At 43.0% G+C, this 25,880-nt stretch overlaps 1 protein-coding gene and 1 pseudogene across 15 annotated transcripts in view, besides 3 other annotated features; one reads left to right on the top strand and one right to left on the bottom strand.

Moving 5' to 3' along the window:
• Positions 1-25,880, top strand: part of NBPF3 (NBPF member 3) — a 48,112-nt gene that overhangs the window by 1,402 nt on the left and 20,830 nt on the right. For 10 of the 15 annotated variants that reach the window (NR_046176.4, NM_001377495.1, NM_001377492.1 and 7 more), the window contains exons 1-2: positions 1,947-2,158; positions 6,758-7,029. Coding sequence is in view for 7 of the 15 variants with exons in the window: in NM_001256416.4 (NP_001243345.1) it covers positions 6,897-7,029 (133 nt within the window). In the remaining 8 variants the exon portion in view is untranslated. Of the gene's footprint in view, positions 1-1,946; positions 2,159-6,757; positions 7,030-15,182; positions 15,241-25,880 lie in introns of those variants that run through there. The other 5 variants (XM_047432037.1, XM_047432038.1, XM_047432039.1 and 2 more) reach the window with 2 other exon arrangements.
• Positions 1,551-1,600: a silencer, noted in NCBI's record as "silent region_381". NCBI's record gives its function as "represses an Ori minimal core promoter by ATAC-STARR-seq in GM12878 lymphoblastoid cells {active_cell/tissue: GM12878}" and the evidence as "EXISTENCE:reporter gene assay evidence [ECO:0000049][PMID:35858748]".
• Positions 2,081-2,591: an enhancer, noted in NCBI's record as "H3K4me1 hESC enhancer chr1:21766764-21767274 (GRCh37/hg19 assembly coordinates)". NCBI's record gives its function as "activates a minimal SCP1, AML or CMV promoter by ChIP-STARR-seq in primed H9 embryonic stem cells {active_cell/tissue: H9 hESC(primed)}" and the evidence as "EXISTENCE:reporter gene assay evidence [ECO:0000049][PMID:30033119]".
• Positions 2,566-2,860: a silencer, noted in NCBI's record as "tiled region #4165; K562 Repressive DNase matched - State 4:PromP". NCBI's record gives its function as "represses a minimal TATA promoter and a strong SV40 promoter by Sharpr-MPRA in K562 cells {active_cell/tissue: K562}" and the evidence as "EXISTENCE:reporter gene assay evidence [ECO:0000049][PMID:27701403]".
• Positions 21,234-22,012, bottom strand: PFN1P10 (profilin 1 pseudogene 10; annotated as a pseudogene).

Raw genomic sequence — 25,880 nt, forward strand, 5'->3', positions numbered from 1 at the left:
CAACCTCCGCCTCCTGGGTTCAAGCAATTCTCCTGCCTCAGCCTCCCGAGTAGCTGGAATTACAGGCGTGCACCACCATGTCTGGCTAATTTTTGTATTTTTAGTAGAGACGGGGGTTTCACCATGTTGGCCAGGCTGGTCTGGAACTCTTGCCTTCAGGTGATCCACCCGCTTCGGCCACCCAAAGTGCTGGGATTACAGGTTGAGCCACTGTGCCCAGCCCAGTTTTGTGATCTTTAGAAAATCACTTCTCCATGCCTCATTTTTCTCATCTGTAGGATAGGGGAAGTAATGATACTTAAAAATGTAGCTTTCTTTTGAGGATCAAATAAGCTGTTCTATATATAGCACTTAGAACAGAACAGATTTTGGAACATGCTAAGTGCTCACTGAATGTTAGCTCTCATTAATATTGTTATTGCCACTATATGCTGGACCTGTTCTAAGCAGTCCATGGATATTTAATCCTCACACCAGTCCTATGGAGTCGTTCCTGTTATTTTCAGCATTTTAGAGGTAGGAGAATGAAAACTTAAATGACCTGCACAGTCACGTGGCTCGTCCTGATCTGTCTTTCCCTAGGGCCTGGGGTGAGGTTCACAGAAGATAATGTGCCTTGAGCACTTGGTGAACTATAAAACTCTAAACCATTGAGGGCCCTAGTTTTATCTGTTCTCCTGGCCCAGAGCAGATTAGAAATAGCAAATTAGTGCGAAGGCAGAGGGTGGCAAACACAGGCCCTTCAGAAGGGCAGTTGGCAGCACTGGGGGAGGTGCCTGAAAAGCACAAAAGCAGGCATTGCAGCCCCATGGTGTCGCCCACCTTGGTGGAGAGATAGGATTGAACTTCTGTGTGAGCTCTTTGGAACGCTCTTCCTGACCCCTAACCAGTTTGGGGCCTGGGACTTGGCACGTGGCTGGCACGTGCCAAATGGGAAGGGAGGCTGGGTGTGGTGGCACACGCCTGTAGTCCTAGCTACTCGGGAGGCTGGGGCAGGAGAATCGCTTGATCCTGGGAGGCAGAGGTTGCAGTGAGCTGAGATTGTGCCACTGCACTCCAGCAAGGGTGACAGAGCAAGACTCGAGGTCAGGAGTTCTAGACCAGCCTTGCCAACATGGTGAAACCCCGTCTCTACTAAAAATACAACAATTAGCCAGGCAGGATGGTGGGCACCTGTAATCCCAGCTATTTGGGAGGCTAAGGCAGGACAATAGCTTGAACTTGGGAGGTGGAGGTTGCAGGAAGCCAAGATCATGCCATTGCACTCCATCCTGGGCAACGAGAGCAAGACTCTATCTCAAAAAAAAAAATAAAAATAAAAAAAGCGAAAACGTACATAAAATATCCCTGGAAGGATTCACAGGAACAGCATCCCACAGATTGCCTACAGGGTGAGACTGGGAGACAGGAATGGAAAAGATGCCTATTTTAACTTTACAATTTTCTGTACTATTTGATTTTTTTTTTTTAATAGATACGGGGCTCTTTCTTTTTCGTCCAGGCTGGTCTCGAACTCCAGGGCTCACGCCTGGCCCTATTTGAATTTCGAACCATGTAAATGTACCATCTTTTCAGAAAAAAATAAAATCCGTGTGGGCACGCGGGGACGCTCCGGGCCTCCGAGGGGGTGTGTCTTCTGCTTCTTTAACCTGGCAGGGGCGGTTCAAGTGGCCGGGGAAATCAGCGATTTGGAGGGTCGAGGGCTGGTGCTTTGAGAGAGACGCGGAGGGCAGAGAGGGATTCCCCGTCCCAGCTGCACTCGGTGCATCACCTAGGTTACTCCTTTTCTCGGCCCGCAGGGCCCCTAACCTGCTCGAACCTGTTGTGCAGTAGAGGCCGCCGAGTCCCTTTAAGGCCCCGCCGCGCCTGCGCCTTGGGTTCTCCTGACGCGGCCCATCCGGACCCTGAGGAGCCAGTGGGCTGCAGGCGCAGGCGCAGGCGCAGGCACAGGCGAGGGGTTGGGTGGCGGTTGAGACAGCGGCGGTACTGGGATGGGTAGGTGAGGATCCCGAGACTGAGTGAGCTTCTGCGCGCGGTGCTTTTGGGAACGCGGGACTGGCAACCTGCGGCGCCAGGAGCTGGGCCGAGGCGCGGCGGCGCGGCTGCGGGCCGCCGTCTGGATGGGAAGTTACGGCGAAGTCCACCCAGCGTTTCTCAGGTGAGGGCGCCGCGCCAGGCTGGACGGGCGGTGAATCCGGGACCGGCGGGCGCACACCTGGGTCGAGGCGCGGCCGTCGCAAGTTTTGTTGCGCGAGCGCGGGGGCGGGTGGGAGGTGGGGGGTGTGGGGGGTCGTGCACCGCCGGGGGCTGAGTTCCCCGCGCTGGATTCTTCGCCTGCCGCTGCCGCCCTCAGCCCAGCTCTCGTGGGCGCTGGGGAAGAAACTCGCTGGCGGGTGTTCTGTGGCATCCCAGGGGGTGGAGGGACGGAGCAGCTTCGGGGGCACGTCCTCCTATATCCTGTAGAGGACACTGACTCCGCACCCCACCCTCGAGGCCGGAAATCGGTTCCCTCTGCGGGCCTGAGAGGCGAGAGCGCTCGCGCCCCTGACTTGCAAAGTTGGGGTCTTTACTGGCCTCCGGGCTTCTGCTCCTGGCGGTGTCTCCAGGCTGGTGATGGGCAAGCCAGGTGTGCCAGGTCCAGGATGCACATGAGGAGCGTTTGTAGCCATCACTGAATCACCTCCTGACTAGCGGGGCAAGCCTCAAATGAACCGCAGGATTTCGGCTAGGTTGGATTGTGGGGTTGCTGTTTGCACTCCGAGGAGTTGCTGTGGTTTCCCTGTGCCTGTCTGTCTGTCTTTCTGGCTTCTTAGATCATCATCTCATGTGGCGTCCTTTCACCGAAGAGTTAACCAAGACGTTTGGCCTAGTTTCCTTGCTTTCCTTCTGTCTTTTGCTGCTAGAGCTGCTTTCGAAAAGAAGTCTTTTCTGGCAGTGGTACCTTTTCTTTGGGTTACGGTGTTGTTCATCCTTTCTTTGCCAAAGGAATGAATCCCAGTGCTTCACGAAGTTAAAGATCTGCTGGTAGTGTTTAATCTGTTTGGAGCTGATATGCGTTAGTAGCTTTCTTTTTGTTTTTAAATTTTATTAGTAAAATTTCACTAGTGAACCAGAAGCTATTTTTTTCTATTCTGAAATGCTGGCTTTAAGATTTCTGATAACTTTGCGTCAAAGAAATCTTGGAAAAGTTACTGAAGTATACAGAAGAAGTTCACAATTTTAAATGTGCAGGGGGCCCGGGCGCAGTAGATCACACCTGTAATCCCAGCACTTTGGGACGCCAAGGTGGGTAGATCACTTGAGCCCAGGATTTCCACACTAGCCTCGGCAATGTGGCAAAACCCTATCTCTACTAAAAATACAAAAGTTAGCTGTGTGTGGTGGTGTGTGCCTGTAGTCCCAGCTACCCGGTAGGCTGAGGTGGGAGGATCACCAGAGCCCGGAAGGTTGAGATTGCAGTGAGCCGTGATCATGGCAGTGCACTCCGACCTGGATGGCAGAGTGAGAGCCTATCTCAAAAAAAAAAAAAAAAAAAGTAATGAATTTTGACCAAGTGAACCACCACAGATCAAGAAATAGAACATTACTAGACTGGAGTATATTTTTGGAGTGGCATTGTTGGTTTTAGAGGTATATGAATGATAAAACTTTAGTATTACATATTGTTGAACATTTTCCCAAAGTGGTTGTACCATTTAGCAAGGATATTCTGGTTACCCCACATCCTCGCTGATGCCTGTCAGTTAAAAATCATTTTGCCATTCTAGTAGGGGTGCAGTAATATATCAGTGTGGTTTCATTGAGATTGAGTATCTTTTATTGCCATTTATGTGTCTTCTTTTGTGACATGCCTGTTAAACCTTTTTATCCAGTTTTCATTGATATGCTTGTTTTCCTGTTGATTTGTAATACTTTATTCTGGATATGCCTCCTTTCTAGGATTTATATGTATTGCATTTCCCTTTTTTCAATCTGTAGCTTGCGTTTTCACTCTTTTATGTTGTTTTTTCATGAATGGAGATTCTCTGTTTTTTTTCTTTTTGAAACAGGATCTCACTCCATTGCCCAGGCTGGAGTGCAGTGGCACAATCACAGCTCACTGCAACCTTGACCTCACAAGGCTCAGATGATCCCCCTGCCTCAGCCCCCAAGTAGCTGGGACCTACAGGGGAGTACCACCACACTCAGCTGTTTTCTGTATTTTTAGTAGAGATGGGGTTTTGCCACATTGCATAGGCTGGTCTGGAATTCCTAGGCTCAAGTGATACACCTGCTTCGGCCTCCCAAAGGATTGGGATTACAGGCATGAGCCACTGCACCCGGCCTGAGATTCTTAATTTTAATGAAATTATACTTTATCAATCTTTTCCTTTATGGTTACTGCTTTTCATGTCATCTTTAAGAAATCAATGCCTAACCTAAGAGTATGAACACATTTTTCTGTGTTAACCTTATAACAATTTTATTTCAGTTTTTGCATTTTTTTTTTTTCAGACAGGGCCTCACTCTATTGCCCAGGCTAGAGTGTGGTGGCAGGATCTCAGCTCACTCAACCTCCATCTCCTGGCTCAAGTGATCCTCCCACCTCAGCCTCCTGAGTAGCTGCGACTATAGGCATGTGCCACCATGCCTGGCTAATTTTCGTATTTTTTGTAGAGATGGGGTTGCAACATGTTTCCCAGGTTGGTCTCGAACTCTTGGGCTCAAGTAATCTGCCCGCTTCAGCCTCCCAGAGTGCTGGAATTACAGGTGTGAGCCACCCCACCTGGCTATGATTCACTTTTTACTACATGGATGTGTCTGCTTTATCCAGGACCATTTATTGAAAAGACCATCCTTTTCCTTCTGCACCATGTGGCACTTTTCTTCATAAATCGATTGACTGTATGGTCATCTGATTTATGAAATTAGTGTGGGTCTGTTTCTGTTTCTGGACCAACCTGGGTAACATAGTGAGATCCTGTCTCTACAAAAGATAAAAATAATAAATAAATGAATAAAATTTAAAAAATAAGTGCATAGAGCAGATGGAGTCATAGGTGATAATTTATAAATGATTGTCAGTTTCTTGGCTACATACAGGTGTTGGTAATTCAGATGTGTTGGGCGTTCAGGCAAAATGTATTAAGTGAATTATATGGTGTTCAGAATGATTGCTAGAGGTTCACTGTGACTTCAATTAGATGTTATTTGAGCCTCACAGAGCTGCAGTTTTGACTCTTTTATTTATTTGTCTTTTTGAAGTTTTTACAATCTTCCTGTCAAGGCAGTAACACTTTTATACTTAATTGTTCTTAGGTATACTTAATTAGCGAGAAAACTTTATGGATCATCCCTAAATAAGTGTTAAGCCATTTAAAGGGCTCACGTGATGTGATATAAACAATAGTATTCTACATAATAGTTTTAGGACTACATAGAATAATTTTTTTTTTTTTCTTGAGACAGTGTCTCGCTCTGTTGCCCAGGCTGGAGTGCAGTGGTATGATCATGGCTCTCTGCAGCCTTGATCTCTCAGGCTCAAGCAGTCCTCCCACCTCAGCCTCCTTAGTAGCTGGGTCTACAGGCATGCACCACTATGCCTGGCTAATTTTCTCCTTTTTGTAGACAGGGTTTTCCTGTAGTGCCCAGACTGGTTTCAAACTCCTGGGCTGAAATGATCCTCCCACCTTGGCATCCCAAAGTGTTGGGATTACAAGCATGAGCCATCACACCTGGCCATTTTAGTTTTAATAATTTTTATGTTTTTCTAATTTAAAAGATTTACTAAAATCTCTTACGGCTGTTATTTATGAATATAGTATTCATTGTTGTTATTATGATGATTTTGTATGTGTTCAATCTGATTTTCAATATAAGCTACCGGCAATTAGAGATTTTGTCTCTTTTATTCACCACTGTATTCTCAGTACTTGACCTTGCCTGGCATGAAACAGATATTGAATAAATATTTCTTAAAAGAATGAATGAATGAACATACTAATACCATATTCAACAATCTCCAAGTATCACAGTTTTCACCATCTAACAAATAAAATAGCTGTATAGAGTAGAGTCACAGTCAACCTGCCATGAAAGGAAATGTCAATGAAAAATAAACCTTCGTATGTGTAGCTGCTAAGATTTTGGGGCTTTTGTTACTGTAGTATAACCTAGCGAAAGCTCAGTGAGGCAGCATATACAATATATGTGTACAGATAGACCAGCTAGACCAGTAGATGAGATTCCAAAGATAGTTCAATAAGCATTAACTAACAACACCCACACTCTCTTAATTCCCTAACAAAAATAATGGAATTCTTGTTCACTAAGATCTGCCTCAAATATTACTTTGTGAAAACTTCCCTGGCTACTCTAGTATTTAGTCAGGACTCTATTTTTTTTCCCGCCGGGCTGGAGTACAGTGGTGCCATCATAGCTCACTAACCTCTAACTCAAGGCTCAAGGAATCCTCCTGCCTCAGCCTAAGGAATCCTCCTGCCTCAGCCTCCCGAGTAGCTGGGACTACAAGTGTGTGCCACCATGCTCAGCTTATTTTTCATTTTTTATTTTCCAAGACGGGGTCTTACTATGTTGCCCAGGCTGGTCAGGACTGTTGATTACATATGACAGAAACCCAACCACCTCTAGTTCCCACCACCTTTCAACCTGCTCTTCCCTGGGTCTTCCCAGTCTCCGTAAATGGCAGCTCCATCCTTCAAGTTGCCGAAGCCCCAAATCTCAATGTTAACCTTGATTTCTCTCTTTTATCTCACAGGCAATCTGAAGGCAAATCCTGTTTAGACCCAGGCGAAGGTTCCTGGTGACCCAGGCTCTCACCAGCCAATTGTCCCTTGCCGTCCTCCTGAGGGTATCTGGAGCTTCAGTGCTGTGTGCTCTTGGCCTCCACACTGGGGATGCCACTGACTCCCACTGTCCAGGGCTTCCAGTGGACTCTCCGAGGCCCTGATGTAGAAACTTCCCCATTCGGTGCACCAAGAGCAGCCTCACATGGTGTGGGCCGACATCAAGAGCTGCGAGATCCAACAGGTAAAAATCCCGAGGCATTGCCAGCTCGGTGGGGTCAGAGAGTCCTCTTTCTATTATAACTCAGATGTGAAGGGAAGATGTCAAGGTCCCTAAACATTGCAGGGCCTTGCCTGGCATGAAACAGATATTAAATACGTATTTGTTAAATGAATGAACAAATATCCACAGCCTGTGCCGCCCATGGCCTGCAGTGCCGTGGTCAGGTGGAAGTGATTTTACTTCAGGAGAGGACAGTGTTCTCTCCAGGACTTTTCCTTACTAGCTAGATCTGCATCCCTCTCCCCGCTCTTCCCCTCTCACCCCCCATTCTCTGCCCCCATTTCTCTCTGTTTCCACCCTACTGTCCCCTTTCACCTGCTTTCTGCTCTTCAGCTTTGATGGCTCACCCCCTCCCTGTCCACCTGCATCCCCCAGGCTAAGGCTCCTACACTGTCCTGGGTGGGGAGATGTGTCTCGTTTTAGGCAGTGCCCTCTGGATGTGTCTAGGATGGGGAAACATGGCTCAGTTGCCAGTATAATGGGTTAAAAGTGGCCACTTTTGAAGGCCTTTCCCACCTCCCATTCCAGAATCCTGTAGGACTTAGAATTTATGGGCCACAGTGGAATTCTTGGTTTCCCAGGACCTTGTGGTGGACACCTTCTTTCACTGAGCATTCATGGGGTGACTATTAGGTACCAGGCCCTGCTCTGGGCTAGAGGCCCCACAATGAGTAAATCTCAGGTCAGTACCCCACGGAACCCACCACTGCAGGCATTGAGAGGGGGAGAAAGAAAGGGGCATGGCCCGTTTGTGTTCTCCTCATGTGGTCGCCCACAGGTCCTGGGGGAGTAGGAGCCAGTGCAAGGAGAGAAGTCCAGTGAGAAAGGCAAATGGATGACATCAGACCCAGGGGCTGAGGTCCCCAGCTGCAGCTGGGTAGCTTCTGGAGTGGACAGGGAGCAACAGGGAAGTTCGTGGCCTGGTGTTCTGGGATGCATTGTCTCATCTCGTTCTTGTGAGCACCAGAACTTATCCAAAGACAAGACTCAGTGTCTCTGGCAACAGTGGGCCAGAGACAGAATGTGTGAATTTCAGAGGAGGAGGAAGGGGTTGTACCCCATGGAAACAGTATATGGTTTTACAGTAGCGCATCTTTCTCTAATAACTGGTTAGTGTGTTCCTGTTAATGGAAAATATTGGTGGTGTAAGTTTCCCCACTGTTCTCATCTTCATGTAAATTTGTTCATTTCCTTCCTTCCTTCCTTCCTTCCTTCCTTCCTTCCTTCCTTCCTTCCCTACTTCCCTCCAACTCTCTTTCTCTTTATTCTTTCCCTGCCTCCCTCCCACCCACCCTCCCTCCCTTTCTTCCTCCTTCCCTCCCTCCCTCCCTTCTTTCCTTTCTTCCTTTCTTCTTTTCCTTTCTCTCTCATGCTCTTTTTCTTTCCTTTTTGTTCTCTCTACTTTTTTGAAGAGATCACACTGTACTGAAACCTACATTATTTACCAAAATCTCCAGATCTGCTTCTGTCTTGCAGGCAGAGAGCTCATCCAGTAGCCCTTAGCTCTTCCCAGCCCCCTCCTTTGATTTGTGGGTGCCACTGGGGCAGCTGCTGAGTCTCAGTGGTTTCTAGTCTTCACCAAGTTCTGCCCACCCAGATGGTTTTTACCTCTCCTTACCAGAAACCTGCACTGTCTAGATTGCTGAGGCTGCTTCTCCTTAACCGATCTGCTATCTGTATTCCAGGGGCACCGCAGGGTTAGAGGTAAATGGCACAGGCCTTGAAATCTCCAACTGCTCTGACTCCAGGTTGGTGCACTTCAATGCCAAGTACTAACCACCCAGTTACAGGATGCCACCAAAACCTTGATATGGGGCTGCTGCATCCTAATTAAAACAAATTAATAGAATTTTTTTTAGAACAGTTCTAGGTTTGTGGAAAACTTGAGTGGATAGTACAGAGGGTTCTCCTAGGCTCCCCTGTCCTCCACACAATTTCTCCTATTAGTATGTTTTATGAGTGTGGTCCATTGGTTACAATTGATGAACCACTGTTGATACATCATTATCCCCTAAAGTCCATAGTTTACATTAGAGTTCATTCTTTGAGTTTCACAGATTATGGGTTTTGGCAATTACATAATGTCCTAAATCCCCAATACAGCGTCATGCGAAATAGTTTCACTGCTGAAAATTCCCTGTGCGTCACCATTTCATGCGTCCTCCTCTCCTCCACCCCTGACAACCACTCATCATTTTACTGCTTCTTTTTGACTTTCCAAGAATGTCCTAGAGTTGGAATGGTACAGGATGTGGGTTTCCAGACTGGCTTCTTTCTAGCATTATGTACTTTAAGTTCCTCCATGTCTTTTCATGGCTTGATAGCTTGTTTTTTAAAATCAGTGAATCATATTTCGTTGTATGGCTACAACAGTTTCTTTATTCATTCACTTGGTGAAAGACATCTTGGGTACTTCCAAGTTTTGGCAATTATGAATAAAATTGCTGTAAGTACTTCTGTGCAGGATTTTGAGTGAACTTGTTTTCCAAAGTGACAGTACCCTTTTGATTTCCACTAGCGATGGAAAGTTCTGGTTGCTCCTCATCTTTGACAGCATTTGGTGTGTTCACCTTTTTGAATTTTAGCCATTCTAATACAGTGATATCTCATTGTTGTTTTAATATGCAATTCCCTAACGACAAATGATTTTGAGTGTCTTTTTCATATGCATATTTGCCATCTGTATATCTTATTAATGAGGTGTTCAGATCTTTCACCTATTTTTTTTTCTTTGTGTTGTTTAGTTCTCAGAATTCTTCATATATTTTGGACAGCAGTTTTTCCATCAGATTATTTTGTAAATATTTTCTGCCAGTCTGTGACTTGCTTTTTCCATTCTCTTGACAGTGTCTTTCACAGAGCAGAAGTTTTTAATTTTAATGAGGCTCAACTTAATTTTTTTCATTAGTAGATTGTGCTTTTGGTTTTGTATCTAAGAAGCCATCATCCAACCCAAGATCCCCAAGATTTTCTCTTATGTTATCTCCTAGGATTCTTATGGTTTTGCATCTTACATTTACATGTAAGATTTATTTTATAAAGGGTATAACATGCATACCTGGATTTATTATTATTTTTTTTTTTTGCATGTGTTTGTCCAGCTGTTCTAGCACCACTAGTTGGAAAGGCTGTCTTTGCTGTTTTAAATTGTCTCTAAACCTTCATGGACGATCAGTGGACTGTCTGTAGGCCTGTTTCTGGGCTCTGTATTCCTTTTCCACGAATCTATTTGTGTGTGTTTTCTCTTTTCACCAACTTCACACTATTTGGGTTACTGTAGCTTAATGTAAGTCCTGAAGTTGATAGTGCCAGACGTCAGGGGGGTTTTCGGAACTTCATCATGAGAACCTGGTTGAGACCATTGTAGTAAAACTTGGAAACGTGTGAGATTCCCCCTTAGTCTGGTTTTCAAGGAGTTTTTAATGCTCTAGCCAGGCCACCCTCAGCTTCTAGTAATCTGTCAATACCATTTAAGTGCTCCTCCCACTTGCTGTCCCCAGTAGCTTCTCTTCCCTGTGAGCTCTGACTCCTTGTGTGTTAGCCTGTCTTTCTCATTTTTAGGGTGGCCGTTTTCCCTGTGACCTCAATTCTCTGGTCCACCCTAGAAGGGTTGACTTTCAGTTTGTTCAGCTTTTTTCTAGCTGTGAGGACAAGTGATGACTGCCTAGCTCTTTCCATGTTGGAATAGAAACCCAAAAGTTCGTTTAAAGAATTACTTGTTATAAAAGTCAGCCATTGTCCACGTACAACTCAATGACTTAAGGTGATATATAGAATTGTGCAGCCATCAGCAGAGTTCTACTTTAGCACATTTTATCGCTTCCCCAAATTCCCTTGAACCTCTTTGTAGTCATTTCCTAATCCCTGGTCCCCATGACTGGGTCTGAATAGAATAAATATTTGGAAAGCAGACTTCATTATATTTACATTTTCATGTGTTTGGGACTTTATATAGTGGACTATTGTGTTTGTTTTGTGACAAGCAGAGAAGAGATTGCATTCTAGGGATGTTTTTTGGGGAACATAACAGTAGTCTTGTTTATGGCTCTCCTTGAAATTGGTTCATCTGTGCTGGTGACTGGTATTTGCTACCAAACCTTGTCTGGTGAGCACAAGAAAATGAATTTTTAAAAATCTGCTATGAAAATCGAGATGATACATTTTCACATAATAATATGTGGAGTTAAGTAACGAACCATCTTTATTTATTTATTTATTTATTTATTTTTTGAGATGGAGATTTTGCTCTGTTCCTCAGGCTGGAATGTAATGGCGTGATCTAGCTCACTGCAACCTCCACCTCCTGAGTTCAAGTGATTCTCCTGCCTCAGCCTCCTGAGTAGCTGCGATTACAGGCACCTGCCACCACGCCTGGCTAATTTTTGTATTTTTAGTAGAGACATGGTTTCTCCATGTTGGCCAGGTTGGTCTCTAACTCTTGACCTCAAGTGATCCACCTGCCTTAGCCTCCCAAAGTGCTAGGATTACAGACATGAACCACGGCCTGACCTGAACCATTTTTATTCTTTCAGAAATGTGATTGATAACAGTAAAGCCACACTCCTCGCATGCCTGAAATACCCCTCATTGTCTTCTTCAGGTGGCAAGGGCTCTGAAACAGCCACATAAAGTTGAGGGCAATATTTTTACTGTAGTTCTTTCATTGATTGATTGATTGATTGATGGATTGATTGATTTTTTCTCTGAGAGGAATTAGCATCCATGTATCTGAAATTGAAATTCAAGAGGAGAGACAGGCACCTGTACTAGTTTTCTCTTGCTGCCAATTATCACATTACCACAAACCAGTGGTTTGAAACCACAGAAGTCTGGAATGAAGCGGCTGGGTTCTCTGATCAGAGTCATGTGAGGCTAAAATTCAGAAATGGGCTGGCTGTGTTTTTTTTCTAGAGCTCAAGCTATTTTTCCAAGTTCACTACAGATATTGAAAGAGTTCCTATTCTTGTTTGTGGGGGACTGAGGGCCCTTTGTCTTTGCTGACTGTCAGCCAGGAGACACTCTGACTCCAGAGGCAACCTGCTTTCCTCCTTACCTGTCTTTTCCATCATCAACCAATAACAACTCATGGAGTCCTTCTCAAGCTCCTGCCTTCTGTGGCTTCATCTTCTCCAACCAGCCACAGAAAGCTCTGTCATGTATGGAGTGGTGTGATTAGATCCAGTTCATGCAGGTAACCTCACCAGCTCAAAGTCATATAACTGGCATATAACATCATAATCACAGGAATGCTGTCTCATCACCTTAACAGGCTTTAGAGACAAGGGTGTGACATATGTGGGGACCATTTCAGAAATTCCATCTACCACAGTAGGACACTCACATTCCCCCAACTGCAAAATGCATTCACCGTCTCCCCTAAGGTTCCCAAATTTCATGTCATTTAAAGCATTAGTTCAACATGAAAAATGTCATGTAGATCACATCAGATCAAAAGTTTAAAATTCCATCTAAAACATCCACACCAGGTGTGGTGAGGCTTCTGAGGGTGTCCACAAAGTACAGGTCTTTGACATAATTCCCTTACCTCCGTCGACCTGTGAAACTGAACAAACAGCTTATCTGCCCCTAACGTGAAATGACGGGACAGACATAGAATAACAGCTACAGTGATTCTAGTTCAAAATGAGGGAACATGGAAGGGATAAAGAAGTCAATGACCCAAAATAGTTTGGAAATGGAACTGGGCAAAATCCAGCAGAAGTTTCTTAATTAGGATCGACAGCCTGGGACCGGCCCGCCGTCCTATGGGTCTTTGCCTCTGGGCTCCCTGCTCTGCATTTCTTGAAACCATTATTATTTATCTTTTTTCTCACACTCTTTTGCATATGGCTTCTGTTGCACTCAAAATGTTTTTGAGATTCATCCATGTTGTTTTATGTGTCAACAGTTTGTTCCTTTAGCCATTCCATGGAATGAATGTATCACAGTTTATTGGTCCATTCTTGTATTGACAGATACTTGAATGTTTCCAGTTTTTCATATTATGAATAAAACTGCTATGAACATTCTTGTATAAATCATTTTCTGGACATATGTTTTAGTTTCTCTTGGATAAATGCTTAGGAATGACTGAGTCATAGAATAGGCAGTTGTTTGGTTCTGTAAGAATATGCCAGATATTTTCCCCAAAGTGTTTATACTATTGTACATTCCATGCATTAATGTACGAAGATGAGAAAGCTTTTGCCCCTTCCAAAGAGGCCTGTCTATATACATGTAATTTTTTCTAACTGGAGACAGGCTGATGACTTCAGGGACATGAACATGGGATACAGGACACCTGTCATCACCACCACCATGAAGTTGGGATTCAGGAAGGAGGTTAATCATATAAGGAATCCTGTGACCAGCATGAGCTTCTGTCAGGCCACAAAGGGCACTCAAGTGAACAGGGCATAGTGGGTCCTGGGGTCATGGTGAGAAAGTGTCTCTTTGGTAAAACCTTTTCCCTTGGGGAGGTAAATAAATTCTTGGTTCCTTCTTGGTAGCCCTTGTAGATAAGGATGGTCAAATAAAATAATATTATATCTGTAAAAACTCAGATCTTGGTAAGATTTACTAGTTGGGAATCCAGTGTTAATGCCATGAAGCAGCCGCCAGTTGGGATCAAATGTGAGCCTATGGATCAAGGTGCATACTCAAACACAGAGAGCTTTTTTGAAAGATGCCACCAGTAGTTTTTCCAGGGCAGAGATGGGTCGTTTATTTCTCTCTCTAATCTAGCCCATATGCTAGCTGAGAAGGTTTCTTCATATCACTTTAAATGATGATGTCCTTGTACAACAATTTTCTAAACATTCTTTAGATAAGAATTTAATGGGCATTCTTTATTGCATTAGGCTTAAATTTCATGCATCTTAAGGTTTTATTGCAAAGTGTTGCCTTGCTTCCTTTTTAAGATGATACAATTTATAACACGCAAGTTTGCTGTCTGTCCCCTCCCTTTATATACATATAAAATGAGCAAACATGTGGCCATGAAACAGATGGTCATAGAATTGGTTCAGTGGTTGTGAGTTCAGCAACCCAAGAGTGTCTTATCTGAAATACCACGAGGAATGCCTGGACACAGTAGACAAAGGTTGTTCAACTGGATGCCTTAGGATACATGCTACCAAAAACAAAGTAGCTGAAAAGGAACCAGAATAACAGAATATCAGAGCCAGAGGAACATTTGGAGGTAATTCAGTACCTCCTCCTTTTCAACCTACAGGGGAGATAGTGGAACAGAAGCAGAAATGGGCCTGCCTGCTGTGCCCAAAATTCATTGGAGATTATTGCGGTGAAGAATTTCATTTATGATGAAGGAGAATTAAATCCCCGTCAGTTTAAATTCAGGCAGGTTTATTGAAAAGGTGAAGAAGCGTCTTGCAGAAGCAAAGCGTGGCTGAGGCTTGTGGGCTTTGGGAAAATGAGCAGCTGACAGTGGCTGATGCTGCCCCTGACTCTGGGACCATGTGGTCTCTTGTTCCCTGAGAGCATCTCTTCTATTCTCTTGCATCTTCCCTCAGCCTGGCAGTCTCTGTATAATCTTCAACACATAATCGAGCAAGGCTGTGCCAGCCCCAATGCCACCTGGCACTTTAGGTCAAATTAGGAAGGCATGAAATAAACTGGCCCTTTATAATACAGCTGTTGGAACCACAGTTGAAAGTACAATATCTTGACTCCTGGGTTAGTGCTTTATGCTGAGCTTTTTTTTCTGAATATGAGCACAGACTTTGGAATATTAGTGTCACCTAGCGTTATTAGCTAGTATTCTCCTTTTGTTTCCCCATGACATCCCCTCCTTCTTCCCACAGATCCACTGTCCGCTCATTTCCATCCTGTCTCATGCCACTCGGGGCTCGTCCCTTCTAGAATGCATTCCTGGCTCCCCTGCATGCACACTTCCAGTTAGGTTTAGCAATGGAGGGCACCTGATGGAGCCTGGAAGTGAGAGGAAGGTGAGGTCTGTATTTCTTCCCTCTCCCTCCCTGCTCTGGCACTGAGTATCTGGCAATAGCTGCATCTGTCTATTACTTCAGTGGCCACTCTTCCACAGCCCCAGTTCTCAGTGGGTCCCATAGCATTATTTACCTTTGTTCCTTTAGCTCCCATCAAGGAAGATCCAGAGACATTCTCCTTACCAAGACGTTAAGAAATGCACAGGTGAGGAGAACAGCGGCATGCGTGTAAAGGTCCTGTGGCACCCATCCTCTGCAGGCTGGAGGTCATGGCGGGAGATGCTGCATGGATTTGCCCTCCCCGCTGTCAGTGAGAACAACAGGGTTCTGGAAGAGTAGAGGACAGGCCATGGGACTTGGCCATCTAGAGATAAGGCGGGAGGGATTTCCTTGAGAGGCAGGGATATGTGGTGGTTACTAATCATTCGAATCATTGTGAGGTGTCTGGGAATGTAATGGATGGGAAATCTACTAAGAAATCAACTTAGTAATAATTAGAAAAGCTCTAGTTCTGAGGACAGAGACCTGATGGAGTCACCATAGTGGGAATTTATGACCTGGCATCCGGTTCAGATACCTGGAGCTTCTTGAGTGAGGGAAGATTGGATCCCTTGAGGAAGAGTGAAGCCTTCAATGCTGCCACCAGTGTATGCTGTAAATCTTCCTCCAGGCCTTCCCCAGAAGGCCCTGAAGCCATTTATGTGGGTGACTGAGGAAAGGGAAATACTCAGAGCTTCTGTGGCTTGTTGGATTCTGGCTCTGAAGAATGCTAAACTAAGGGCACCTGTGGTGGCCATGAAAATGCACTACTTGCATCTCCAGCTGCAGGAGGCCTAACGAATCAGCAGCCCCAGCTGCTACACTCCGAATGGAGGACTTGATGACATTTCCCCTGGATCTGCACTAGCCCATGAGGAGGAAAGCCTCCTATCAAGTCCTCCCAGCAGAACACCCATGATGACTCATGAGGATGTTGAAAGTGTTTTCCTGTGTCAACTGTGACTTTCTTTCTTCAAAGTCTGTTTTGTTCCTGCACATTAACTGATTTATATCAAATAAGAGAATAAATGCCTAGACTCCCATGAGTCTATCTTTTACTGATAAACTCAATAGTTCTGAGGACGGAAGCCTGATGGAGTCAGTATAGGGGGAATTTATAACCTGGCATCCAGTTCAGAGACTTGGAGCTTCTTGACTGAGGGGAGATCGGGTCCCTTTGGGGAAGAAGGAAGCCTTCAATGTTGTCACAAGTGTATCCTGGAAATCTTCCTCTAAGCCTTCCTAGAGAGACCTGATAATATGACTTATGATACAGTGACCCCAAATTCAGGGTGTTCTTGTCTACTCTCAAGAATGCAATATCTTCTTCCTCTGAATTGAACGTAGTACCAATATTTGTGTGTAGCTATGCACCTTAATAGACCATAGCTAATTAGATGAGGAATGGTAGACCCAATTCAACCATACAGGCGTCAACCATATCAGCATACAGGCATCCCTCTCCCACCGTTTCCTTCTTGTCCCCACTCCAAAGCCTTCTCCATTTTATTTGTATTAACTTTCTATTGCTGCATACTAAATTACTGCAAGCATTAGCGGCGTAAAATAAGAATGATTTATTTTCTTGCAGTGTCCACAGATCAGAAGTTCAGGCCTGGATTCGCTGGGTCTTCTTCTCAGGGCCTCACAGGCTGAAATTAGGCTGGGTTTCTTTCTGGAGGTTCTGGGGAAGAACATCCTCTCAAGTTTCCTCAGGTTGTCAGCTGAGTTCAGTTCCTTGTGACTGTAGGACTGAGATCTCTGTTTTCTTGCTGGCTGTCAGCCAGGGGCCTCTCGCTGCTCCTAGAGGCCTCCCATGTTCCCACTGCATGCTTCCTCCAGCCAGCAGAGGAGGATCGCCCTGCATGGAAACCCTCCTGCACTTCACATCTCTCCAGGAAGTCCTCAGTCCCTCCAAGGAACTCACCTTCACTAGGTCAAGCTCATCAGATAATCTGTCTATCTTAAATTTGACCGATTTGGGATCTCGATTACATCTGTTAACTTGTTTTTGCCATAAATTGTAACACAATCGCAGGAGTGACATCTCCTCAGTGGCTTTGTCTACACTCAGGAAGAAGTGATTATATAAGAGCAAAGATCACTGAGGGTCATCTTAGGATTCTGTCTACCATAATATTATAAAGACACAGTAATTAAAAGAGTATAACAGATTTCTGCTTCTGTCTGTTAGAATAAATCATATCAGACTAACCCTGCCTCCATAAACAACCGTAAAATTGTTTTCAGCAGTGTACGACAGGCAGTACAACAGAAAACTTAAGGGGGAAGCCCCATGATTTCCTAGTTCTTTGGGGAGAATTTCTCAGCAGCTGCATAGTGGGCTAGAGTCCACTCAGGGCAGGGCAGCCCACTGAGCTGAGAAGGCAGAGATCAGAGTTCAAGACCATTGAAGCAACTGCAATCTGCAGGGCAGGGCACCAATGAGGAGACAGCTGATCAAAGGTGCAGCTCTCAAAGTCTATGTGGGGTTCCATATGCATCCTTATCAAGGACTGGACTGTACCTGCACAAGGAAAAGACTAACAGATTTAACAGAGGGGTGGCTGCTATAAAATTGAGTTTGGACCAGAGGTACTTGAGGCGGAGGAGGGTTGGGGAATGTATGATGGAGTTTCTGCCATCCACGGTGGGAAGAACTCATGCACACCTCATTAGCACCCAGGTATCCAACTGAGACACTAGAATGGATGTGCTTTAGGAATAAGTGTCACACTTTTCAATAAGGCCTATTGTTCACCAACCTGGTAAAGCCTAAAGCCAAACCCTGACAAAATCCACAAAGGGGTGGATTGGTGATTGAGTCCTGCCAAATTAGAGGGTCTTGGGAAATTCTGTGGGCTTTCCATGAATCCGTTGTAATAAAACATAAACCAGTCCACATAAGTCCAAAGTGATCGATCAGACAGTAATTTTACGCCCACTAGAGCAAAATTAATTCACACAATCAATGACACAAGTTAGCCAAGTCGACATTTAAGCAAAATACATCTAAGAACAGCTAACAAATAACTCTCCTCAAACTCACATAGAGCATTCACCAAGATAGACCACATATGCTGAGCCATCCTTAGTATTTTCTGTCCTTTCTCTTTGACTCGTGTATACTGTGCTCAAACTCTTAAAATTATACACTTTAATTATATACTTTAATGATTATACACTTTCATGCATCTCAATTGCATGTAAGTTATATTTCAATATATTTGTTAAAAGTTTATAATTAAAAAAACTGTCCTAGCTTGATTCCAGAAATCTTTTTTATATTTTAGAAAATGTAATGTTATATATTATCAGGGCAAAAGAGAAAAACCGTATGATTACCTTGTCATACACAGTAAAAGCATTTGGCAAAATTGAAAAATTTTTCATGATTTATAAAAACAAACCCCAGAAAACTCAGCATGATAAGAAGAGAAGGCAACACTTCCAACCCTATTAAGGGTAGATTTGAAAAAAACTCACAGGTAACATTATATTAAATGGCATGGGATTGAATGCTTTTCTATTAAATCAGATAAAAAAGTAGAATATCTGTTGTTATTCTTTCAATTCAGCATTATACTAGAGATCTAAATCAGTGCAATAAAGTAAGAAAAATAAAAGTATTGAAAAGATTGAAAAGAAAGAATTGAGGCTGTCTTTATTCACAGATAATGACTGTGTATGTTAATAATCCTAGAAATCTGCAAAAATCTGCCAAAGCTAATTAGTGAGTTTGGTAATGTTGCAGAGTATAAGCTCAATAGAAGTAGTCTTTTGTATTTCTGTGTATTAGCAATGAGCATTTGGAAAATGAAATAAAAATACAATTTCATTTCAAGTAACTTCTAAATACATGTGCTTATAAATAAATTCAACAGGCTGGGTCTGGTGGCTCACGTGTGTGTGTGTGTGTGTGTGTATGTATGTGTGTGGGTGGGTGTGGGTGTGTATATTCACCTTTTTGAAGATTATCTATCGTTATCTCCAAACAGGGAACATTAAGAGAACATAAAAAGAAACCACAATATAGGAGATATCATATTTATTTCCAACAAAGGGTTTTTAGAGTGTGTGTGTGTATATATATATATATGTATGTATATATATGTATGTATATATATGTATGTATATATATGCATGTGTATATATATGTGTGTTTATATATGTCTAATAAGAAACAACACAATGAAACAATTTCTCAAAAGACTTGAATAGATACTTCAGTAAAGAAGATACATAAATGGTCAATTAGCATAGGAAAAGATGCTCTACTGTTTAGTCATCAGGGAGATCAATGAATACAACTTGATAGCAGTACATATCCAAGAGGATGGCTAAAATTAAAAAGGCTGAAAATAGCACATGTTGGTGAGGATATAAAGCACTTGGAAGTCTTATACTTGGAATGAAAAATGGTAGGACTCCTTTGAAAATCTAACAATGTCTTAAAGGTTAAACATATGCAAATCAGATGGACAGTCTTCCATTCCTAGGAATGTACACACTATGTGTGCACATGATCTGTATGTGTATTTCCAGACCAGACTGAGGGGTGGACTGCTATTTCTTGTGGCCCAGTAACGAGATGCAGATGAACTGGGGAGGAAGAGAGTTTTTACTTCTGCAACTGATTACAGGGAAAAGGCCTGGAAATTATCACCAGACCAAGTCAAAATTACAAAGTTTTCCTGAGCTTATATACCTTCTAAGCTATATGTGTATGTGGAAGTGTGCATTCATCTAAATACAGAAGTGATTAAGTTCTTCTAATCTATAACTAAGGTCTGAGTCCTGAAGACCTTCCTCTGGAGCCTCAGTAAATTCACTTAATCTAAATGGGTCTAGGTGCTGGGCACCCTTATCTTGTCTCCTGCTAAATCACAGAGGTTTGGGGAGTTCCTTCAGACCTCCAATAAACTTGTTTGTGGAGGCCTGGGGAGTTTCTTCAGACCCCCAATAAAACTTGTTTAATACTAAATGACTCCTGTTAAGAATGTCTTCGTTATTTTGTCATGCTTTAAGGCCCAGGAAAAGCCCAGGCAAAGCTCTTGGTGGGCTTTGGTTACATTCCAGCCTTTGTAATAAGGGCATGGGCTTTTTTTTTTTTTTTTTCCTCTTAATATTTAACTGAACCACTCAGTCGGTACTGAAACAGTTGTTAGGGAGGCCTGTGTTAGTGAGACCTGGCCTGCCACGTATGGATGCTCATGATAGTTTCTTCATAATAGCCCAAACGTGGAATGATAGAAATGTCCAATAACAAGTGAAAGTATGAACAAACACAGTATAGCCACACAAAGGAATACTACTCAGCAATTACAAGGCATTAACCGTTGATGCAAATACTCATATGGATGGATTTTAAAATTATGTTGATGCATGAAAGAAGGCAGACACAAAAGAATACGGGTACAATTTCATTTATAGAAAATGGTTAAAAATGGAAACAGACCTGAAGTGACAGCGGCTCCTTGAGGCCGAGGGCTGAAAGACTGATGAACTGCAAAGGGGTACAAGAAACTTTGGGGCGTAGGGAAATTCCTCTATCTTGGTTGTGGCAGTAGTTCCATTAGTGTATACATTTGTAAACATGCATTGAATTACACATTTTAAAGTGGTGCAGTCTGTTGTACCTAAATGATGCCTTTATAACATTGATTTCATCATCTTAATTTCTCCATACTAGCAATTAGCAGCTAGAAAATGAAATTCAGTAAAACATAATCGAGATTAATAGTCAGAATCATTACATGCTTAAGAATACATGCAATGAAGCGGGTACAAGGCCCGTAAAAGCAATTGGTGAGAAAAATTAAAGAAGACTAAATAGAGAAATATATATCATGTTCATTGATTGGAAGATTCAATTTTGTTAGCATATTACCTCAACAGAATTCTGATTAATATTTCTAGTAGGAGATTTTAGAGAAATGTAAAAGCTAATTTCAAAATATATTTGAAAATCCAAGAACCTAGAATAGGCAAGTCGGTCTTGAAGAAGCAGTAAGTTGGAGGACTTACTCTGCTAGACTTCAAACCTGATTTAAAAGCTACAGTAATTTAAAATGGTAGTACTGGTGTAAGTATTCATAAATATATCAAAGTAAAAGAATACAGATTCAAACAATATGACCACATATGTAGTTATTTATTTTAGTAGAATCTTTTTTATTCATAAAAAATCCCTCCAAAACGTTTTCCAAGAACACACAGGAGGGCTATGGGTAGAGGAAGGTGTCTGTCCATCTATCCCTGGCCCCCAGCCCATGTGGTTTTGGCAGCAATAGGGGTGTGGGGTAATGTCCCCCAAAATTAAAATGGTATATGTGTGTATGAGAAGGAAAGGGGGGCAAAGCTGTGGGGAACGGTTGAGGGGAAGGAACAAAGGAGGTCAGTACTGGGAACGCTGAAGATGGGAGGCCATTTCATAACATTTCTTGTTGATGAAACTGCCATGGACAGCTTCTTTGCTCATCAGCAGGCCCAGTGTCTTGGCAATCATGGTGACAGTGACATTGAAGGTGGGGGCTCCACCGATGCTCTTCGTTTGAAGATGCACGGTCAGTTCCCCATCCTGCAGCAGTGAGTCCAGGACCACAGTACATTTCTGGCCCCGCAGTGTCAGCCTATTCACGAAAAAGCTTGACCAGTCTTTGCCAACCAGGACACCAACCTTAGCTGGCGTGATGTTCACGAAGGTTTTTCCCTGGGACGGCGGCCCAGATGGAGGGTGAGTCCTTGTTGCCCACGATGGCCGCGAACCTAACAGGTCCCATCCGCCACGAGGCTGTAGATAGAGGCGTCCACCTGGCCGTTGCGCGGCTGCGGGGGCTCCTCTGGTCGCTGCTGCTGGGGCCGCCTGGGCTGGCGGGCAGGGGAGGCGGAGAGCTGCGTGCAGGCACTGCCGTCCTCACCACGGCTCTGCTGGCTGTGCAGTGGCCCTCGCACCGCCATATATATATATTTATTATACTTTAAGTTCTAGGATACTTGTGCACAACGTGCAGGTTTGTTACATAGGTGTACATGTGCCATGTTGGTTTGCTGCACCCATTAACTCGTCATTTACATTCGGTATTTCTCCTAATGCTATCCCTCCTCCAGCCCCCAACCCCAGGGACAGGCCGTGGTGTGTGATGTTCCCCGCCCTGTGTCCAAGTGTTCTCATTGTTCAGTTCCCATCCATGAGTGAGAACGTGCTCACGCTGCTACTTCTAAATGTTTTAAAAACAAAGACACCAATGCTCTTCATTGAGGAAATGGAAGACTTTTAAGTAAAAGGATTTTGAGTGAAATAATATTTGTGGTTTTAAAAAGTTAATATTAACCACTCTTCATCATACACTGAAATTAACTTAAGATGTGAAAGTTAAAATTAGAAACCTTGTAAAGGAAAAATAGGAACTAATTTCGTGGACTTGACACAGGAAAATGTTTCTTAGACTAGATACTGTAACACTCACCACAATAAGAAATCAAGCAAATTGCCCTTCATTTTTAAAAACCTTCTGCTTATTATGTTGTTGTTTAACAACTTAAAAGCTATCTGTAGACCAGGAATAGCAAATAATTATTTGCTATATAATATAGCAAAAAATGTGTATATATAAATGGATGCATTCAAAATATATAAAGAACTCCTATAGGTTACAAGAAAATGACAAACACACCAGTGTTTCAATGAACATAAAATTTTGAGAAGATATTTTCCATAAGAAGATATCTTACTGAACATTAGGCATGAGAAAACCAAAACAGGATATCACTACCCACCTAGTAGAATGGCTATAATTTAAAAGACTGAAAATATTAAGTGTGTGGGAATGTAGAGCAACTGGAAATGGCCTACATCTTTCATAGAAATGTAAAATAATACAATGACTTTGCAAAGCTCTGTGTCCATTTTCTTCCCATTCACCAAGCAACTCCATCCGTAGCTATAGAGACCCAGGAAAATCAGTATGTCCATTCACAGAAATAATTATATGAGAATATTCATAGTTACTTACGCACAGTAGCCAACAAGTAAACCTGTCTCCCGTCAGAAAAATGGATATCAAATTGTGTGATAATCATACAAACAATAGGATATTACTTGGCCAAACAAAACGAAACAAGGGAAAAACACAGTCAAACAAATTAGTGGCATATATAAGCACCTGAGTAGGAGAAGTCAAAACAAGAGGAAGTACTAAATGATTCCTTTTTTTAATTTTTTTGAGATGGAGTCTCACTCTGTCCCCCAGTCTGGAGTGCAGTGGCACGATCTCGGCTCTGCCTCCCAGGTTCAAAAAATTTTCCCTGCCTCAGCCTTCCAAGTAGCTGGGATTACAGGCACCTGCCACCATGCCTGGCTAATTTTTTGTATTTTCAGTAGAGGCAGGGTTTTACCATGTTGGCCAGGCTGGTCTTGAACGCCTGACCTCAGGTGATCTGCCCGCCTCAGCCTTGCAAAGTCTTGGGATTACAGGCATGAGCCACCAGGCCCAGCCAAAATGATTCCATGTTTATGAAGCACATGATCAAGCAAAATGAATCTATGGTGGCTGCTAAGTTTAAATATTGGTCCCCTCCAAATCACATGTTTAAATGTGGTCCCCAGTGTCGGAGGTGGGGGTAAATGGGAGGTGTTTGGGTCATGGGAGTGGATCCCTCATGAATAGATGAATCCCCACCCTGGGAGAAGGTAGTGAGTGAATTCTCACTCTCTTAGTTCCTGTAGGAGCTGGTTATTAAAAAGTGCCTCTCACCTTTCCTTGCTCTCTTTTGCTTCCTCTCTCGCCATATGATCTCTGCACACCCTGGTTCCTTTTCACCTTCTGCTGCAAGTGGAAGCAGCCTCAGGCCCTCATTAGGAGCAGATGCGGGGGCCATGCTTCTTGTACAGCCTGCAGAACTATGAGCAAAAGGCACCTCTTGTCTTGATAAATTACGCAGCCGCCGGTATTCCTTTCCAGCAACACAAAGGGGCTAAGGCGGTGACAACATTCAGAATATATTCTTCATTTGGGGAATGAGTATTGACTGGCAAGGACCACATCAGAACTCTGTGGCATGGGGGAAAATGTTCTCTGTCTTTAACTGGGTGTTACTTTACAATTATAATTATATTAAAATTTATTAAGCTGTGCCTTTAGGTTTTTTGCAGTATACTCTATGCAAATTTTACCTCAGTGAAGAACTGTTAGCATACAACAGAGAGATAACAAACACTCAAAAATTGAAAATTGATGGAAAGTAGATAACAAATATTTAGCCTAGAAATAAGAGGGATCCATTGAGAAGAAACCAAAAGCAATGGAATAGAACAAAGACAAAAAAGTATAATAAAAAGAGTTTTAAATTTCAAAGTTTGAAATGATATTCAAGTGACACACTGTTTCCTTGGGAAAATCAAGTGAGAACCACAACTCTGAGACTAATTCCAGCAAAAATATGTGAATCAGTTTGATCTAATGGTACAAGGTTAGCTTTGAAGGCCAAAAGGAACTGGTTTCTAATTCTTATTCCTCTCCTCACTAGTTTTGTGACCTAGGGAAATTTTGCAATCTTTCTGAGTTTGTTTTCTCATCAGGAACAGGATACTACCTAAGTAACAGGATAGTTGATAGATTTAAATATGATCGCATGGCAGTGGACATGAGCCATAATTAGTTGCTAAGAATATATTGACACTGAACTCTCCTTTATCCATGTTAAAATTGTAGATAAACAACAATTGACAAAGAATAGACAAAATATTCTAACATAAATATTCTTCCCTTGTTTCTAGAAAGAAGTCACACATACAGTAAAAATAATTAGAGAGGACCTAGTTCATATTGAGCAATCTTCCCCAAACCCTGAAACAGGTCTTCTTTCTAACACCAGAGGTATCTTGAGTGAGTCCAACCCCTGCAGTCCCCTCTGTCTGGAATAGATGGAGGAAGTTTGCTCCAGCCTTAGAACAGCATGGGCTGGCAAGCGTTCTCAGAGAGGTCTCGACTTCAACTCTAAAGGGCCTGAGGAATATGTGCAACTGGGTCGGGTTAAGGCCAAGCTGAATCACATGACCAGGGCTCTCACCAGCGCCAAAGTCAGTGGAAGGATATCAGTCCCCAGAGCTCTGTCACAGGCCATGGATGCTCCATGGAGGGGTGGTGAGCATATGAATAAGAATCAGGAGAAACATCGGTAATGGACAGGAGGCATAAATAAACAATGTCCACCGTCCTCTAAAACCCAGGAAAGTTCTCATTCAAAAGACGATGTCTTGAAGGAAACATAGGTACAAATCTTTGTGACTTTGGATTAGACATTTTTTAAGTAGGCACAAACAACCGAAAAATAGATAAATGGACTTCATTAAAATAAAAAACTTATATGCTTCAAAGGACACTGTCAAGGAAGTGAAAAGATAATCCACATAATGGGAGAACTATTTCCAAATTATATGTTTGACACAGGTCTAGTACCTAGAGTATATAAGGAATTCATATAACTGAGCAATAAACGACAACCACATTTAACAATGGGGAAAAAAGCTGTGAGTAGAGGTTTCTCTAAAGGAAACACTCAAATGGCCAAGAAGCACATGCAAAGATGTTCAATGTTTTTCGTCATTAGGAAAATGTAAATTTAAACCAAAATGAGATACCACTTCACACCCAGCAGTATGACTTAAGAAAAAAATAAAGACAACACATGTTTCAAAAGTGATGGAGAATATCGAATTCTCATATATTACTATTGGGAATCTAAAATGATGTAGCTACTGAAGTTAGTAAACAGTGTGTGAGTTCCTCAAAAAGTTAAACATAA

The sequence above is a fragment of the Homo sapiens genome, chromosome 1 (assembly GCF_000001405.40).
Source record: "Homo sapiens chromosome 1, GRCh38.p14 Primary Assembly".
In the NCBI taxonomy this organism is placed as follows: domain Eukaryota; kingdom Metazoa; phylum Chordata; class Mammalia; order Primates; family Hominidae; genus Homo; species Homo sapiens.